Below are 17,794 nucleotides of genomic sequence, written 5' to 3'. Positions count from 1 at the left end.
AAGTGATAAAACTAGAAGTAGAACTCAGTTTTTCAGCTTTTAAACAATTTTTTTTTTTTTTTTTTGCAGAGTTAGTTTTTAATCAGCAAGAATGGATCAATCTTCCCATATAATTCATCTCAATACCATCCCCAGATTGAAGAGTTAAGATATTCTGGGGATTTCTGCAGGGCAAAATCTCACCCTTTAGGCTCTTAAAATTTGTTCAAATTATAGCACCAAATAGGATTTATTGGATGGATTCCACTCACTGCATATGAGGTTGCTTTTCCAGATTCTCTTTTGTTTCTAGCTCGTGCTTCAGCCTTTTTCTTTTCTTCATTTTCTGCTTGGCTGAATAAGAGGGAAAAAGAAGCAGATCCATTAGGAACAAACACATGCCATGATTTCTCCACATCCTTGCACTGTTAACTGTTCTCCCTCCTTAGAGTGGAACAATTTTGTCCCTTTATCACTGCATATCAATGAGAAGCAACAAAATATCCTCCAGGATAGTATGGTGCTATGATTTCTTCATAATGTCTGTTTAATGTTGAAAGAAAGACGGCAATAGTGGATCTGGGATACTTGCTTTCTGTAAATTAGTTTTCTTGCCCATAGTAAGAAAAGGAGCATGATCAATGTTCATAACAGAGGCACCAAAACTAAAATCATGGTGGCATAACCTGAAGGCTGAAAGTGGCCTTAACAAAGCACATCTACTCATCCCCTTGTTAATCAGAGAAGATGAGAGGTAGAGGGGGTCTTTGCTACATCTCAGGATATGACTACAACCAAGGTCTCCTCCCTCAAGACCATGGTCTATCTATCACACCATGTGTACCCTAGCTTTGCTTTAAACTTAAATATTTTGCTTACTCATAGCTGTTTCATCTAAAGGACAAGATGTGAAAAAAAAAACCACAATAATTTCCATATACTGATAAAACAAATAAGCCTAAATTTGCTTTGTACAATGGAATTGCACAGTATGTACAGTTAACTGATGATATTTCAACCATATGTAGTTGTCAATCAAAACAAAGAAAGCCATAGATTCTAAATATAAGTTAAATACTTAATTTGAGCTCAGCCAAATAAAGAGCTATCGTAAATCTTGAAAGAAAACTGTCCATTCTAACTTATTGAGAAATATTGCATTACATAAAATAATACCCATTGTAATTTTATAGGAGTTTAGTGTTGTTTCATGGGAATTTTGACTTTATTCCATTTCTACATTAAGCATCACCTTTGGACTCTTAACTCCCATGGAAGATGAGATACCTATAAATTGCTAAAACAGGCTAACGTGTGAAGTTTCAGGAGTAAGGGGGCATCTACTATTTGTACAAGTTCATGTTTGTCAGGACATTCCAGTGCTAAAAGAGGGAGTGTCAGAGGAACAAGGCGTCTTAAAACAAATAACTCTAGGTACTTACTCCCAGCTCTATCACTGATATTTTCCATGTAATGTTTTCAACTCACTTCCCTGTCTTGAGCCACAGTCTCCCCATCTATGAAAGAAGCTGTTTCTATTAAATTACCTGCAAGATCCCTTCTTTCTTTGACATTCTAAAACTCTATACTCACAAGTAGGCTTGACACATGGAACACAAGTTGCCATGCATTTTCCCATCTGGACCACGAATAGGGTCATTTTCTCTGGTACAGAAAAGTATTCCATTCTTTGCCTGATTTTGATATTGACTGCAGAGTTTCTGAATAATGAATAAGAAAAAGTTGAGATATAGTTCTGTTTTCTATGTATGAATGTTAAATGTTATTTTACAAAGAAAAAAGAGAAATTAAGGATGAAAAATAAAACTTTTAAGATTTAGGACCATCCAAAAATTGTGATATTTCTCTCCTTGTAATATCCATTTACATTTTCAACGAATGCTTAAGTTAGGAATATATAAATAGAAATATGATTTATTTATATTTATGTTCTTTATCAGTCAAATGGAAAAGATAAGTAATTGCAATATAAAAAGCTAAGAAATATAACACTAGTCTGAATTAAGTGTGTACAAGTACAATGAAAAGAATAATTCATGGAAGTTCAGGGAACTTATGTCTAAGTTCTATCTTGAGAATATATTCAGGAACATAATGTGGAAAAAGGCCATCCAAGAGGAATTAAATGGACAAACACACAGGGGTGTGAAAGAACATGCTATTTTGAGGTAATCTAACATATTTATGAATATAGTGGCTAAATAATTAGTTGGATAAAGAGAATAATATTTGGGAAATGGTCAAAAGGAGACCTTGAAAATCAAAGACCACTAAACTTTGAAAGGAATTTGGATATTACTTTTAGGCAATGGGAAAATTATAAATGTTTATAGCAGAAAATGGCAAAATCAAATCTTTGTTTTACAAAGGTTATCAACCAGATGTGTGGAGGATTTGATTAACTAGGGACTGAAGTTAGAACAGTAATTATATTATTAAAAAAGAGAGAAAGAGAGGGAGGAAAAGAGAAAAAAGAATAGAGAGAAGAAAAAGAAAAAGGAGAAAGGAAAGGAAGAAAGGGAAGGAAGGAGAAAAATTGGAAATAAATGATAAAATAGTAGTTGACAGATATTTGAATATCAAAATTAAAAGGACTTGGTAACCTAGGACTGAGGGGAAGAAAGCAGTTCAAAATGAGGCTTAAGCTATGTGTAGTGGCTCATGCCTGTAATCTTAGCACTTTGGAAAGCTGAGGTGTGAGGATAGCTTGAGAGTGGGAAGTCAAGGCTGCAGTGAGCCATGATCCCACCACTACACTCCAGCCTGGGTGACAGAGAAAAAAAAGAAAGAAAGAAATTGTCTTAAAAAAAAAAAGAAAAGAAAAGAAAAAGAAAAAGAAAAAAAGAAAGAAAGAAAGAAAATGGAGTTATACTGGCAGAGGGTGGCCTGATGGAGTGGCTTACTTAGGAGAACTGTTGACTGCACATCATAGAAGTCTGGAAAACTGTCTGTAAGAAATAAGTTAGGGTTTCTATAAGAAGTGAAATGGTCTGAATATACTCTAGAATATCTTCAAACATTGGAATTTTATAGCATCGCTGACTCGTGGAACCATAGTTTTTGTTCTCATATTCTATGACATATGAAAACAACATGGAGGATGAATTAAATCTTGAAGATTGAGAAAGATGGAGACCAACAGTGTACAAACCAGGTACAATGCCAATACGTCAATGCAAAAGAAAACTATTAAGTGTCTGAGCTAAGAGGGTAGCAGTAGAAAAACAGACAGGTGACTAGTTAAAAGATACTTAGAAAGCAGAGAACAGTATAATTTAAAAGGAAGCACATTAAAATTCAACATTGATATTGTTTTTGAAGTAAATACCTTCACAATAGCTACCACACATCGAAGACTACATATCACACTTTGAATTCAGACAATGTTTTGATATTTCACCTTCATTTAGGAGTGCAAAACTACATTATTAATGTGACTTGATTAATTGCCTCCATATACAGCTAGAAATTGTAATGCCATAATTTTTTAATCTAAGTTTCACAAAATAATAACTAGAAATTAGTTTCCAGCAAACCTACTAGTAGTGTGGAAAATATTAAACAATATTGAAAGTGCATACTATGTAATATGCACTCTCTCACACACGCACCCCCCCACACACACACAAGTTGTAACTAGATTGATCAAACTGATTCTCACCACAATTTCTCTTTTAACTTTAGTTTTTTCTTCAGCTTTTCCCAAATTTTGATCTGTTTTACTGTTTTCCTCTGAAAAACGCTGCTTGCTGGAAAAAGTAAAATAAATGAGTAGAGATGCTTCCGATCTTCATGTTACAAAACAGTCATTAGGTATAGATGGAAAAATATCTAAGTTGTCCTGAGTTTTAGTACAAACACTTTAAAAACACCTCAAATCCCCAAAAAGACCCTTTAATTTCACCTTTATACCATTTACTTCCACTAAAATGATCTTTTTTCTCATCTCCCTTTCTTAAAAGAAATTTAAAACTCTGCAGCTTAAATTCTACCTTTTTGAAGAAGACATTCCAGTTCCCAAATACAAATGAGCGCTATGTCTATTGCTGTGTTTTTGTATCGAATAGTCTTCTCTTATACAGCAGTTTTTATTCTATTTTGCAATATATAAATATGTGCACATGTCCATGGCTTATTTCTGCTACTGAACTTAAGCTTCTTGAGAGTGGGAGATCTTCATTCATATCTTCATTCATTCATTTAGTGAGTAATTATGGTTTTTTGGGCAAGTGTTGGCTGGGCCCTGGGCATGCAGGAGTATATAATACAAACACATACCCTGCCCTCTTGTAGTTCTTGAGGCTGGTAGAAAAGACTGAAAGTCAACAAAAACTTGGAGAAATAATTGTATAATTGCCAACTGTGATGGTGGTTAGAAAAGACAATTACTAAGGATTATGAGAATTTAATTTCAATTAGGGAAGGACTTTAGGAGTTCTTGTCCAAGGAAAGATAATCTGAAATGTAATCTACAAGAGGAGGGGACATCATCTGGCCAAGACCGGGAGGAACTGGCATAGGACAGGACACAGGAAAGGGCTTGTAGAGCTAGAGAAGCCGAAAGTGTCATGAGATGTCATCTAAGACATTTTCATAAATGTGATAATTTGTATGTTGTGAGATTTGCCCTTCTCCCAAGGTCATATGTCCCAGATAAAAAGATAAGAGTAATCCAATTAATGTATAAACCTGAAGTATCTGAGAGTGTTGCATCAACACTGTTACCATGGGATAATTACTGAAGAAAAACAATCGAAGTCGTGGTACCTGCTTTTACCCCCATTCTATACTAGAATTAGTTCACAAACAGTTTCACATAGGTCACAGTCACAGGGGAATGTTAAGAAGTGTGCTATGCTGTAAGTCAATATTTCAACTGGAAAATGGAATCCATTTCTCTTCAGAAATAGACAAACATCAGTAGTGCCTGCTCACTAGGTGGCATTATGATTTGTGGAGGGCATAAAACTGCTCAGATGGTTCTCAACAACAAAGCTTCCTTTCAAAGTTATTTTTACTCATCAATCCAATCAATCTCCACTCCCACCCTTTGAATCACTCTGAAAAAACCACTTCTATACTCACAAAATTTCAGCACACAGGGCACATTTGTTGCCATGCATCCTGCCGTCAGGGCCACGGACTGGATCACTCTCCCGTGTACAAAAAAGCCTTCCATTTCTCACTTGTTTTTCATATTCCTTGCAAAAATCCTTTGAAAAGACAATTATATTTATTTTACTTCATTTCATTTCAGGATATTTTATTTTTTGAGACAGGATTTTGCTGCATTGCGCAGGGTGGATTGCAGGGGAATGATCATAGCTCAGTGAAGCCTCTAACCTCTAGGCTCAGAGATCCTTCCACCTCAGCTTCCTAACTAAATGGGACTACAGACATGCACCACCACACCCGGCTAAATTTTTTCCTTTTTGGTAGAGACTGGATCTCATCATGTTGCCCGGGCTGGTCTTGAATTCCTTGGCTCAAGTAATCTTCCTGCCTTGGCCTCCCAAAGTGTTGAAATTATAGGCATGAACCAACACATCCAGCCAACAAGTAATTTTATTTACCATTTTTCTACGTTTTAATCTGGAAACTTTATAATAGATTTATTACCACAAAACATCAGGTCTAGAAGTTGGCAAATACATACAACATATTAATGAGGATTACTAAGAAACAGTAATTATATTGTCAACTACTTGGCACTTGTATCTGTTATGTGGTAGGTTTATTAAAAGATAAAAAACAGCCTCGGAAAAAATAAGGCTGACCAAGAGTTTTCTTGGATTAAAACTAGGTATTTCTTTTTAACTTTCAGATCAATAGGGGTCAGGGGATATCTTTCATGAGGTTCCAGCACAAACACAACAAAATGCAGCAGCCAAATCACAAAAAAAAAAAGAAAAAAAAGTTGTGAGAAGATGAGATGTCTAAAAGTGACTTAATATGGATCAAGTCAAGAATAATCCAGCTAAGTTTGTAAGTATAAAGAAACAAGATGTTATCCAACAGTGTTATGCTTACTTTAGTTGATTTTCTCTATGGATCTGTGGATAATTTTTGTGTATTCTGCCTTCTTTATCCATAATAATTTCTGACATTGTAGAGAGAGAGTAGATCTAATTTCCTTTCACCCTCACCTTAGACAGATAGATCATCAAGACTGATACTCATTTAGAAAAGCTAAAAAGGAGTGACTTCCCCCCACCAAAAAAAATCCAAGAAAGATTTGTTTTCAGATTTCCTGATGCTTTGGTTCAATACTTTCAGGCTACTTTCTGTGTTTTGAAAACTCTACTATGTGAGGAGGGCTAAACTTTACCAAAAAAATGATACTCTAAGCTACTCTAGGCTTGGGGATCTCTATGTCATTAAACATTTTGTGGTGAGATATAGTACTATAATATGACCTACAAAAAATCCTGGTCTATAACTTTCTTTTCAACTGTGTGACCTTCGTCATTCAATTTCAGGCAAGAAAACATGGGCATAAAGAGCATGGCTAGGAGTCAAATGACCTGGGCCACTAGATTGTCCCTCTCACCCAAATGGGAGACCACAGCAAAGTCCCTTCTCCTTTGGAACCACAGTTACTACTTCTACAATGAGGTTTTTGGAACAGATGCTCTGTAGGACCTTTTCTAGATCTAGCATTCTTTGGTTTTTTAAAAAATAATTCAAATTCCATTGGGATGCTTTAACAGAGAATCCTAACTGCTTCCTATTAAGAAGATATTTATTTTTGGAGGAGCAATGGATGTGCTCCAAACCTCATGGTTGTAACAACCTAGAAATAGAGAAGCAGAAGACAGTCACCTGATAATCATAGCATGGTATAAAAAATTAATGCTCAATGATTCTCGTAAAAGAAACAATGATAATTTCAGTTTATAAGTTGTGATTCAGCCAAGGAGATTCTGAAGAAACACTGTGTTTGCAACCTAGTGACAAGTTAATTATAGGGAACATATTGAGCCATCACAATAAAGCAGTCCTATTCACACCATCATGCCCGGTGACCCCACCAAAACAATGACCCTAGCCACAGAGAGGAAGAGGGAAGTACAGAGACCTAATGAAAAACAAAGGAAAATAACTCTCTGTGTTTATGAAGTAATAAAATGTTAACTATCACAGGATGACCCAAAGTTTTAGACTGAAATTTAACAACCACCACAAAAGAATTCCTTTTCAATCCTTGGCAAGTGTTGCATAAACTGTAGATGGTTCTGAATACTTAGTTTTCCTAAATGTAAACCTTCAATACCCTATTTAGGTTGAGAGCTTTGCTTCATTAAATAAGCATTACGAACTGAAGGGCTAGCTCTTGACTACCAAAAGGTGGGCTTGTTTCTTCCTTTAGGAAAACATAAGCCCTACGATCTGCAAAAAGGAGTGCACTTGTATTAGTACAAAAGTGTGCAGGATGTAGAATCACAGTCCAACAGGAAGGTAAAATTCAGGTCATTATCCAACCTCTTTACTTTGCTGACAAGAAAATTAAGGCCCAGGATGATTATTTACTTAGTCTCCCACACCCAGAGCATGGCAAAACCAAGGCTAAAACTCAGGCGTTCTGACTTCTCAACAAAAGGTTAGCCATTTAGCAAAGAAACTGCTATCCCTCTCATTGAAAGTAGGTGATTTAAGAAATCCAGGCTGCATTACCTAAAGTGCTTATTCAAAACTTTTTATACTAGATTGAATAATTAAATTATCAAGTAATTTCAAAAAAATAATTTTAAGGATTTTTTTAAAACACATTCTAAAAATTTGTCTTTTTTTTTTTTTAAAGCAGAATCAAGACCTTTATAAATGCAGGTTTTTCTGAACAGAATAATCACAATGGCAAAGTGAATAACTTCAACTTGTGTCAATTTAATTGCACATAAAATGCACTAGTGGATATAGTGTTTAAAACACTCTCACTATTTTAAAATTATTCCTGTTTAATTTATATTTCATTGCCAATTTTAAACAATTTATACAGAGTAAAATGGGTTTACACTAAACCAAAAAGAAGGCTGCTAGAAATTAAGCAGAATTTGGTTTATACAAACTTTCTATCTTATATCTTCTTTTGGGGGCTAGAGGACTGGAGAAACACAGGTGGAAACTGCACATTTTGGGCCTTAGGTAGGAAATGCTGTTTTAAATCTGAATCTAATGATTAATATTCTAGGAATAGTCAATTTGGGGAATTTTGATATTAAGAAAAATATCTATATAATAATAAAAGACAATGACTTTATTTCATTACTCAAAGGTTTAGGCATACATTTGTTAATAAATATGGCCACAAGAACAAAATTGCGTTGGTGAGTCATTTTACCTTTTCAGCATTTCGTCGAATTCTAGTTTCACCCTCTCGCTTGGCATTTTCAGCTTCTTTTAAACTGTTAAGAAAAGTAAACAGTTGGTCAGTTTATGACTCAATCATATTTTCAGTATCCTCAGTCCTGTGCTAAACACTTTCATATCCTCTGCTACGAATTGCTGAAAATGATCCTCTTACAAGAGACAAGCATTTCCGTCTTCAATGCCTGAGCCAGAGAAATTGCCAAAGATAAGGAAAGAAAGAAAGACGGCAATAGCTTATCTGGGAAACTTGCTTTCTGTAAATTAGCTTTCTTGCCTATAGTAAGAAAGGGTGTGAAACTGACTCACTGACAGTCAATTAGAAGCTTTGTTCTGTAAAACTGAATGGGTGTGACACCTTGATTGACAAACAGAAGATTGTCAGGAAAATTCCCTTTAACAGGCAGAACCAAGAGCTTTAAAATAATGCTGTGACAAGGGTGAAACCAAACTGAGCATTTGAGACATTGCCATCCACACCCTTAAGTATAACTTTGTATACCTTGTAAAGTATTTGTTTGCTTTCATGTAAAAGTACTAAGTTGTTAATGAAAGCTACATTTGAATTGAGCTTTAAGCCCTTTCACATCTATCATTTGATTAGCGTCTCATTCCGGAGATAGGTGTGGCTATCTCAGTTCCACAGAGTAAGAAACCAGGAGTTAGAGAGGTCAAATTCCCCTTTTCACATAATGCATAAAAAGAAAAAAAAACCCTACAGAATTAGGGCAGATTTGAACATTGAGAGAACATGTCTCCTAGATAAGAAAGTGGAAATCAGGCTGATTTCCTGTCTGGAAACCAGTTATCATCACTGTTTTGTAAACCTGATTGGACATGTCCTTGAATTCTACAAGGACTAACTGTAATTTTCAAAGGCAGGTGTGACGTTTGTTTGCTAATCAGTTAAATCTCTGTCCTGATTTTAAAGTTCCAGTGATGTAAATATAGCAATTTAAGGTTTGCTGGCACGTGAATTAGAGAGTCTAAACCTTGTTTAACAGCCAGAATATGAAAGACTAATTAGATCTTATCCACATCTGCGTCTTTAATGCCCAAGCACTGCCAGGCACTCAGATAAAGATTAACCCAATAGCCCTTCCTTTTGTAATGATCCGCGTTCCACTTTTTAAGCTAATAAATAGATTCAGACACATGGCATTATTACTATTATTATTTTAATTAGCCTCACATTACTCAGGAAGGGTCTCTACATATGCCCAAATGAAGCAATGGATGTCAGACGACTGACCTAGATCATTCCATATGAAAGTGCTTTCTAAATTTTAAAATATTGTGCCTTATAAAACACTATACATTTTCAAATTACTGTAATTTAAAAGAAATGAGAGTCTTGAATTTAATAACTAACATGACCACCTTATTCTCTTCTTTTAAGAAACTTCAATCAATGATAAGAAGAAAAAGAAAAGAAGCCTTTCTGTGAGAAAGGCTATTTCACAGTGTAAAGACAAAGAATTGCATGCTTCATGAAAAGGATTTTATCTCTCTGCTGAGTGATTCTCGGGACAGCAACCAAGTGCATCATCATCAAGTCCACCTGGGGATGATGCTACTTACAACAGCTCAGCACACATTGCACACTTATTGCCATGCGTCTTCCCATCAGGACCAAGAACAGGATCATTTTCCCTTGTGCATCCAAGTCTTCCATCTCTAACAAAGGGCCGAAAAGCACTGCATACATCCTGAAGAACAGGGAAAAGAACTTGAAACTTACCAAGATTGTAATGCTGACAACACTGTTTTCAGAAATTTTATTGAACTCAGTCCCTCTGACATTGCTATGGGCCACTTAGAGCAGTACCAGCTGTGTAGATGTAGCTCAGTAAGTACTCTATAATTCATGTGGTTAAATATAAAACTTTTTTACTTGTTTATTCATTTATTTAGTAAACAGATAACCTACTATGTGCCAGAACTCAGACAGAGCACAGTCCTTGCCATCAACTTGCTCCCAATCTCCTAGGTGATAAAAAGAGACATTTAAAATTGCATGATGCTAAATGACTTGGTGCAAGTCACCTCAGGTGCTCTGGAAGCTTATAAAAAGGGCATCAGACCTTGAAAATTAGGAAAATCATTCACCTGGAAAAAGACAAGTGTGACATGTATGAGATCCTTTCTTCCTTCCCCTTCCCCTACCATCACAGGCTCACAAAACTGTATCATAGAAAAAAAATCTATTTAGTTCAAATCTCATTTTAGGTTAAGTAATTTGTCCAAGGTCTCCAAACAGCAAGTGACACTGCTGGGGTTTTAACGCAGGCTAAGTGACTGAAGTGTTGTGCCCTTTCTACTACACATGTAGTTTCCTTTTTATTTCTTCTTCTTCTTTTTTTTTTTATACAAAGCAGCAATAGATTGAAAGATCTAACCACCAAAGTAATCTGATCCAGTTTCAGAGACTATAATTAGCTTTTTCATATTAGTGGGCAGTACTGGGTATTCCATTTCACATAAAGCAAGAATTAATTCCTTCCAAGGCTCCCACCTAAGAAGGAAGAGGAGAGCACCTACTTACTATTTGAAGTTAGCCTCCCAGTATTTCCCATCAGGCTGACAATTGACCTCACCTGCTCTGGATTACTGCTCTTACATTCCCCTTCACTTTTTACACCAATTTGGGACCCGGTTTTCCTAGAATCAAAAGTTAGTAGACACAGCAGTTTAATATCACAGAACTTCCCACCATTCAAACCTAACTGCTCTACATTGCATTGTCATTCTCCTTTACTCCCGAAAACAGCTGCCACATAGTATTATTTTATTACTTTTTCTAATAAAAGTCACTGTTTATAACTTCAAGTCAAAGAAATGTAGTTAACATGGAAGAGATGGTAAAGATTCAGACTTGTAAATGTTATTTATAGAAATCTTTTTTTAACCTTTGTTTAGAGGAGGGATCCACATCAGAAGATGGGGAAAAGTAAAGCTTGTAACTGGATAATAGATAACACTCAGCACCCAAGGAACTTTGTTGTTTTAAATAAACAAAGTCAAATTTGTATTATCTAACATCCCACTATACTACTCTTTATTTGGGTTATGAAGACTAGTATTTTATTTTTCATAGAAAGTACATAAAGTCTTGATAATTAATTTTGTTCAGTCTCGTAGACCTTTAAAGTATATCTGAAAACACAGAACCGCAAATGTAAGACATATTTCCTAATTTGTAAAAAGTTAAAGCAGATTACAATGATAACATCTGTAAAACAATAAAAATTTAGTAAAAACAATATAAAGAAAAAAACTAAATATTTAAAAGTGATAAGAAAAAAGTTATTTCAAAGGATATCAGCTGAGGGGCACTATAAAAATAAAATTTTCAATTTTATTGTAGAGCCTCCTAGCAGCTAGAGCTGCAAGGGAAACAACACAAGGAGAAGTATGATTCTCATCGCATAGTACAAAGTACATAGTACAAAGAAATATACCAGAAATTAGGGGAGAGAAACTTTCACCTGGACCAGAGATTTAAAGATTTATAATGGGATTCCCCACATAAGACACAGTAAGAATTAAATATATAGCATGCTCATACTTGTGCTACACAATATATATCTGATAAAAATCTGTGTGTTCTTCATATATCTACGTTTGTTTTCGGTTTCTCTATGTTGACCCTTGGTGAGAGTTGAGGACATAATTTTAAAGTGAATTTCTGAAAATACCATCCTGCAAAAGATGAGAGTGTTTTAATGCAGTTTTATTTTGCTGAAAATATTTATTGCAAGGAGAGCTAAAGCTTGCAGGATCTCAAAAAGTGAATAATTATAATACCCCTCATTAGCCTGTACACACCTTGGTTTTCATATTTGCAAAACCTTAAGACCAGACAATTCAAGATTGAGATCACAAGCCAGAACCCGCCAAGCAGGTATGTCATCTTGTTGGTGAAGACAATTGATAACCAAATCTAGCATTGAAGGTAGAGAAAGAACAAAACAGGGACAAGATATAGGACAGTAAGATGCCTTAGCTATTTGGTAAATGTTGAGAGATGGGAAGAAATTTAATATTGAAAGTCTCAATTATCTACTCTAATATTACAAATTATTAAGCACTTAATAAACATAATTTGATGATGAAATAATTCTCTGTGAAAAAGGGTATACACATAGATAAACAAATAGATAATAGATGATGGATAGATAGAAGATAGATGTGTGTATGTATATATATGTATATATGTATGTATGTGTGTAAATATATTATATAATCTGTTATATATGATAATCATATAATCTATAACTTATAGATTATAAAATCATAAGTCTATATTTTATTAAAATATTAAATCTGTTTTATTATATTAAAGCTATATTTTATTATACATTTTAAATATAAAATCTATAACATTTTATAGATTATGAACATATAATCTATAATCTCCCTATTCTGTCTACTTCATAAAGTGATAACCATCTGATAAATCATACATAAAAGTGCTTTGTAAAATATAAAGTGTTATGCTATACACCTTTATTTGTCTTAAGAGTAGTAAAAGAAGTGGTACTAATAATTTAGGAATGGCTAACTCCCACATAATGAATCGTTAGCTTAAAGACTGTAGGGAAAATTGTGTCATGTAATTATAGAGAGAACACGTTTTAGGGAGAAAGCCTACTTCAGAGAATACTCACGCATTCTCAGCACACAGTGCACATCTGTTGTCATATGTTTTCCCATCTGTGCCACAAACAGCTTCATAATAATCAGGACAGATAAAATCCCCATCTCTTTCTCCTTTTTTAAAATCATCACAATTCAGCTGCAAAAGACATGATCAAGGAACGTCAAAATGTAAGAAACAAAATAGTCCTTAGATGTATAAATAGATTAACATTTTAAGCCCACAATAATGTAAATTGCTGGAGAAGAAAAACATATCATGAAGGCTACATTGAGCTAATAAATTTATGGGCAATAAAACATGATCCAAGAACAGATAAAATTAGATTTCAAAAGAAAGAATTTCAGTATTACTTCAGCCACTTGCTGTCTGGGTGAAGTAGGCCACGTCACCACTCTGAAACTTGGCATGTTGTTCGTCTGTCCAATCCTGCCTGCCTTCTCCACAGAGTAGTAGTGAGGCCCAGTAGATTACGGATATGAAAGCTCTAAGTAAACTATAAACTACAGCAAAGTTTCTATTATTATAGATTAGAATAGTAATTAAGAGCAGGATTGCTTGTTTCATATTTCTAAGTCTGCCACTTAAGCTATGGGACTTGGACAAGTTATTTAACACCTCTATGCTTTAGTGTCCTCATGTGCAAAATGGTTATAATTTTGTCAAACTCTCAGGACTATATAGGGATTTACATATGTTAATTCATGTATAGCACTTGGAACAGTGCCTGACACAGAACCATTTATTGTTGTTGTTGTTGTTATTTTCAATGTTTTCTCTACTGACAAGCCAAGTAAACTAAACATCTTTTAGGTACGGCAGGAGAAAGCCCAAATCTCTATTCTAATAATGTGACATACACTTAGGAACAAACCTGATGGTAAAGAAAAACAAATGTACAAAGTAATAACTGAAGACTAGTGTTCAAGTCTCAGACCTGCCACCCACTCACTTCACCTCTTTGCACCTCACTTTCCTCATCAGAAAAATGGAAATTCACACCCTACCTACATTCCAGATTTGCAATAAGGATCAAGTGAATTCTTATGAAACATTATTTGGCAACTTATTATTGTGACATAACCTAGCTAAAAAAGATATAGAGTTAACTTGACTTTAACTTTTACCTAAAACCAAATAATAAAACTGGATAATTTTTCTTTAGAATATCACATTGCAAAATACAACTTCATGTTATCATTGTCAAAATAAAGACATTTTAATGATAAATATGAAACACTTAGAATGTAGACCTATGATGTATCAGTATGTCACATAATATAAAGAATAAAAGTAGGATACAGAAGATCAGGTTGAGAAACTCTTATCTAGAAGGAAAAGAACTGAAAATAGAAAAGAAAAGCTAAAGAACATACTCCACTATTCATATGTTTAGAAAGAAGTTAAAAATACATTGAAAATAAGATAAGCAGTGGCCATATAAGTTATTTCATTCATTCATTTGTTCATTTATTCCACAAAATTTATTACATATTAACTACATTTTAGCACTCTTCTGGACTGTGAAGCTGCCACAGAAAATATAAAATAAAAAAGAGAGAGAGAGAAAAAAATGGAATACATATTCTAAGGAGCTTACATTCTGATAGAAAGAGACAGATATGCACAACAACTATAAATTATAGTAAGTGCTCTCACAAATAAACAGAAAAATACAATAGTGACCAGAATGGGGACTATTTTAGATATAGTGGCAAAAACATTTGAGGGAAGAACATTCTGGGCATAGAGAACGGCAATTGCAAAGGATTTGTGGTGGAAACTAGACTGTCCTTTTTAAGGAATGGACAGAAAGAAGGGAAATGTGACCGAAGCATAAAGAAAAAGCAGGATGGCTCTTGGTTTTCTCTCAAAAATCATTCCTGAAGATACTACAGAAGCATAGGGAAATTACAGATCAAAGTAATTAACTCAAAACAATCACTACTATCCCCCTTCCCCAGAAAATCAACAGCAACGTACTAACTAGGTCACAGGTGTAGAGAGGGGAATGACAGAGCAAGTCAAAAGGCCAGCTGGGGGATGATGAAAACAGGCGCAAGGATATATGACTCCATCTCCTTCCCCTCCAAACCCCTAGGTGGTGGATCACAACCTACAGAAAACACCTCTTCCTAATGTTGACAATGCCTGAGACCTTACAGATAGATTCCTGACCTGGTGAAGTGGCAGCAAGCTGGAGTGGAAAAGAGGGGATTCAGAACCTCCAGCACTGGGTCTTATCTCTTTTTCTATCCTTATACTCACCAGAAGGGCTACAGACTGAAGCTTGACATTGAACACTACCTAACTGAATTTAGCAGAAAAAATAAATACAGCCATTATGGAATATTACAATAAGAATATCTGTATATCTGACAAGTAAAAAATAGAATATACTAAACAACATGTATTAATTGAAGTAGAAATATTGGAATGGGTAGAAAAATATTTTATCAAGTCTAATTATGTTATGGAGAGATAAGAGAAGATATCTGCATAAACAAATGTAAAACAATAACAAGAAAGAAGTTATAAAGGAAGAACAAAGTGGAAATTTTGTATATGGAAAATATTCAAATGATAATAAATCTAGCAATATAAAGAATAAAGATGGGATAGGTACAAATAAATAATGAACTTGTGAACCAGATGATCAGATCAAGGAATTCTCCTAGAAGGCAATGGAAATAAGAAACAATTTTTCTAAAAAAGGAAAAGCTAAAGAACATTTAAAATAGAATTAGAAGTCTCCAAAAGAAGGAAATAAATATAGAAAGAAATATCTGAAGAAAGGAACAATTTCTATAATTAACAAAAAAAGAATAAAAGAGAAAAGCAATAAGAATTTTAAGCTAAAATCAAGTTAATAACAAAATTATATTTACAGAAAATATATGGAGAGTGGATTAACATACATTTGGAGAGAAGACAAAGAAATTGACAATAGACACAGATATTAGCAATAGAATAAATAATCAAAAGTATGGCTATTTGTTTAGGGATAGTCATAATAAGAACAAAAATAAATCACCACCCAAAAAAAGCTAGAAAGAAGAAACTACTAAATATAGTAACCGAAAATATTTTAAAAATGAAAGAACCAAGTCTCACTATAACAGAAATAACAATAAATATAAATGTGCTAAACCTACAAATTAAGAGACAATTGGTAATTTGATGTTTAAAAAAGAACCCATGTATTGAGAAAAATTAAAATGAAAAGGCATGCAAATATCAAACCAGTAAGATAATAAAAATATACAAGACAAAAATGAAGAGGAAGAGAGCATATGCAGCAATATTAACACTTAAAAATTAGAATTGAGTCCAAAAATGTATCATAAGTGACAAAGAAGGACAATATATGAAGTAAAAAATGACAAGAACAAGAACAAGAAAGTATAACAATCATGAGCATATATTCACCTAATAATATAGACTTTAAATATGTCAAACAATAACAAACAGAATGTAATAGACTTAAATAAATCAATAACTGGAGTTAGAGATTTAAGCAAACACTTCTCAGAAATTTATATATTAAGTAAAAAAAAAAGAATATTAAGCCATTAGATTTTTATAGACAACTACAACCAAGAAACAGAAAATAAACATTTTTTAAGAATATATAGGCCGGGCGCGGTGGCTCACGCCTGTAATCCCAGCACTTTGGGAGGCCGAGGCGGGCGGATCACGAGGTCAGGAGATCGAGACCATCCTGGCTAACACGGTGAAACCCTGTCTCTACTAAAAATACAAAAAATTAGCCGGGCGAGGTGGCGGGCGCCTGTAGTCCCAGCTACTCGGGAGGCTGAGGCAGGAGAATGGCGTGAACCCCAGGGGGCGGAGCCTGCAGTGAGCCGAGATTGCGCCACTGCACTCCAGCCTGGGCGACAGCGAGACTCCGTCTCAAAAAAAAAAAAAAAAAAAAAAAAAAAGAATATATAAAACATTCATAAAAGCAGAATATTTGTGAGGTCACAAAGTCTTAAGAAATAACAAATAATCAATACTACATCATTTATATTCTCTGACCAAAATTTAATAAAATTAAAAGCTAATATAAAATATTTAAAAGTTCCACATATTTGAAAATTAGATAATCTATTACTAAATAACATTAGGGGTAGAGAAATTAAGAAGTGTTTGGAAAATAATGATAAATAGAAATACTTAAAGTATAAATCCTGAGATGTATAATTATTAATATCTTCAAAAATATTTGTCATAAATTTTTTAAAAATTAAATTTAAAGAATAAAGTATTCCTCAACCCCATTGTAAAATGAACAGGAACAAACATAAAGAAACAGGAATTAACACCATAGAAAACAGAAACAACAGAGTATATTATCAAACAACCTGATATAAAAGATTTCTAGTAGGACTGACCAAAGAGACAAGTAATATGAAAAGTAAAAATATATGGAATGATAATTAAAAACTACCATATAAATATTGAGACATTAATACGATGAAAGCATTTCATCAGTATCAGTATGCTAATACATTACAAAAACCAAATTGCATATATGACTATGAAAAAGTATAAGATAACTACATTTGTTACACAGGTCAATAAACATTAATCCAATTGATATATTGGTCTGAGATATTCCCACCCCAAAATAACTCAGTCCCAATAGCTTTATAATCTATTTTTCTGAAGGTCTAGGAAATTTTGTATTAAATAATAGTAATGTACAAATCATTCCAAAGCAGTTACAATCATATGAACTGAAAAATAAAATTCTAAACAGCTTTATTG

The 17,794-nt window shown here is 34.0% G+C and overlaps 1 protein-coding gene and 1 long non-coding RNA gene across 8 annotated transcripts in view; one reads left to right on the top strand and one right to left on the bottom strand.

Moving 5' to 3' along the window:
* Window positions 1–17,794, bottom strand: part of SPINK5 (serine peptidase inhibitor Kazal type 5) — a 73,403-nt gene that overhangs the window by 37,816 nt on the left and 17,793 nt on the right. For 5 of the 6 annotated variants that reach the window (NM_001127698.2, NM_006846.4, XM_047416662.1 and 2 more), the window contains 8 exons: window positions 13,035–13,162; window positions 10,962–11,025; window positions 9,946–10,073; window positions 8,339–8,402; window positions 5,086–5,213; window positions 3,662–3,749; window positions 1,573–1,700; window positions 252–333 (listed from right to left, as the gene is read on the bottom strand). In NM_001127698.2, coding sequence (NP_001121170.1) covers window positions 252–333; window positions 1,573–1,700; window positions 3,662–3,749; window positions 5,086–5,213; window positions 8,339–8,402; window positions 9,946–10,073; window positions 10,962–11,025; window positions 13,035–13,162 — 810 coding nt within the window. Of the gene's footprint in view, window positions 1–251; window positions 334–1,572; window positions 1,701–3,661; window positions 3,750–5,085; window positions 5,214–8,338; window positions 8,403–8,521; window positions 8,667–9,945; window positions 10,074–10,961; window positions 11,026–13,034; window positions 13,163–17,794 lie in introns of those variants that run through there. The other variant, XM_047416663.1, reaches the window with a different exon arrangement.
* On the top strand, window positions 5,643–15,636 carry LOC124901185 (uncharacterized). 2 transcript variants are annotated; one of them, XR_007059139.1, is made up of 3 exons: window positions 5,825–5,985; window positions 9,764–10,213; window positions 15,126–15,636. It is a non-coding gene; the product is annotated as an uncharacterized LOC124901185 (long non-coding RNA). The 2 variants fall into 2 exon arrangements; XR_007059138.1 differs by lacking the exon at window positions 15,126–15,636 and having other exon boundaries at window positions 5,643–5,985; window positions 9,764–11,403.

This window comes from Homo sapiens, chromosome 5 (assembly GCF_000001405.40).
Source record: "Homo sapiens chromosome 5, GRCh38.p14 Primary Assembly".
In the NCBI taxonomy this organism is placed as follows: domain Eukaryota; kingdom Metazoa; phylum Chordata; class Mammalia; order Primates; family Hominidae; genus Homo; species Homo sapiens.
This window is presented reverse-complemented; position numbering and strand designations above follow the sequence as displayed.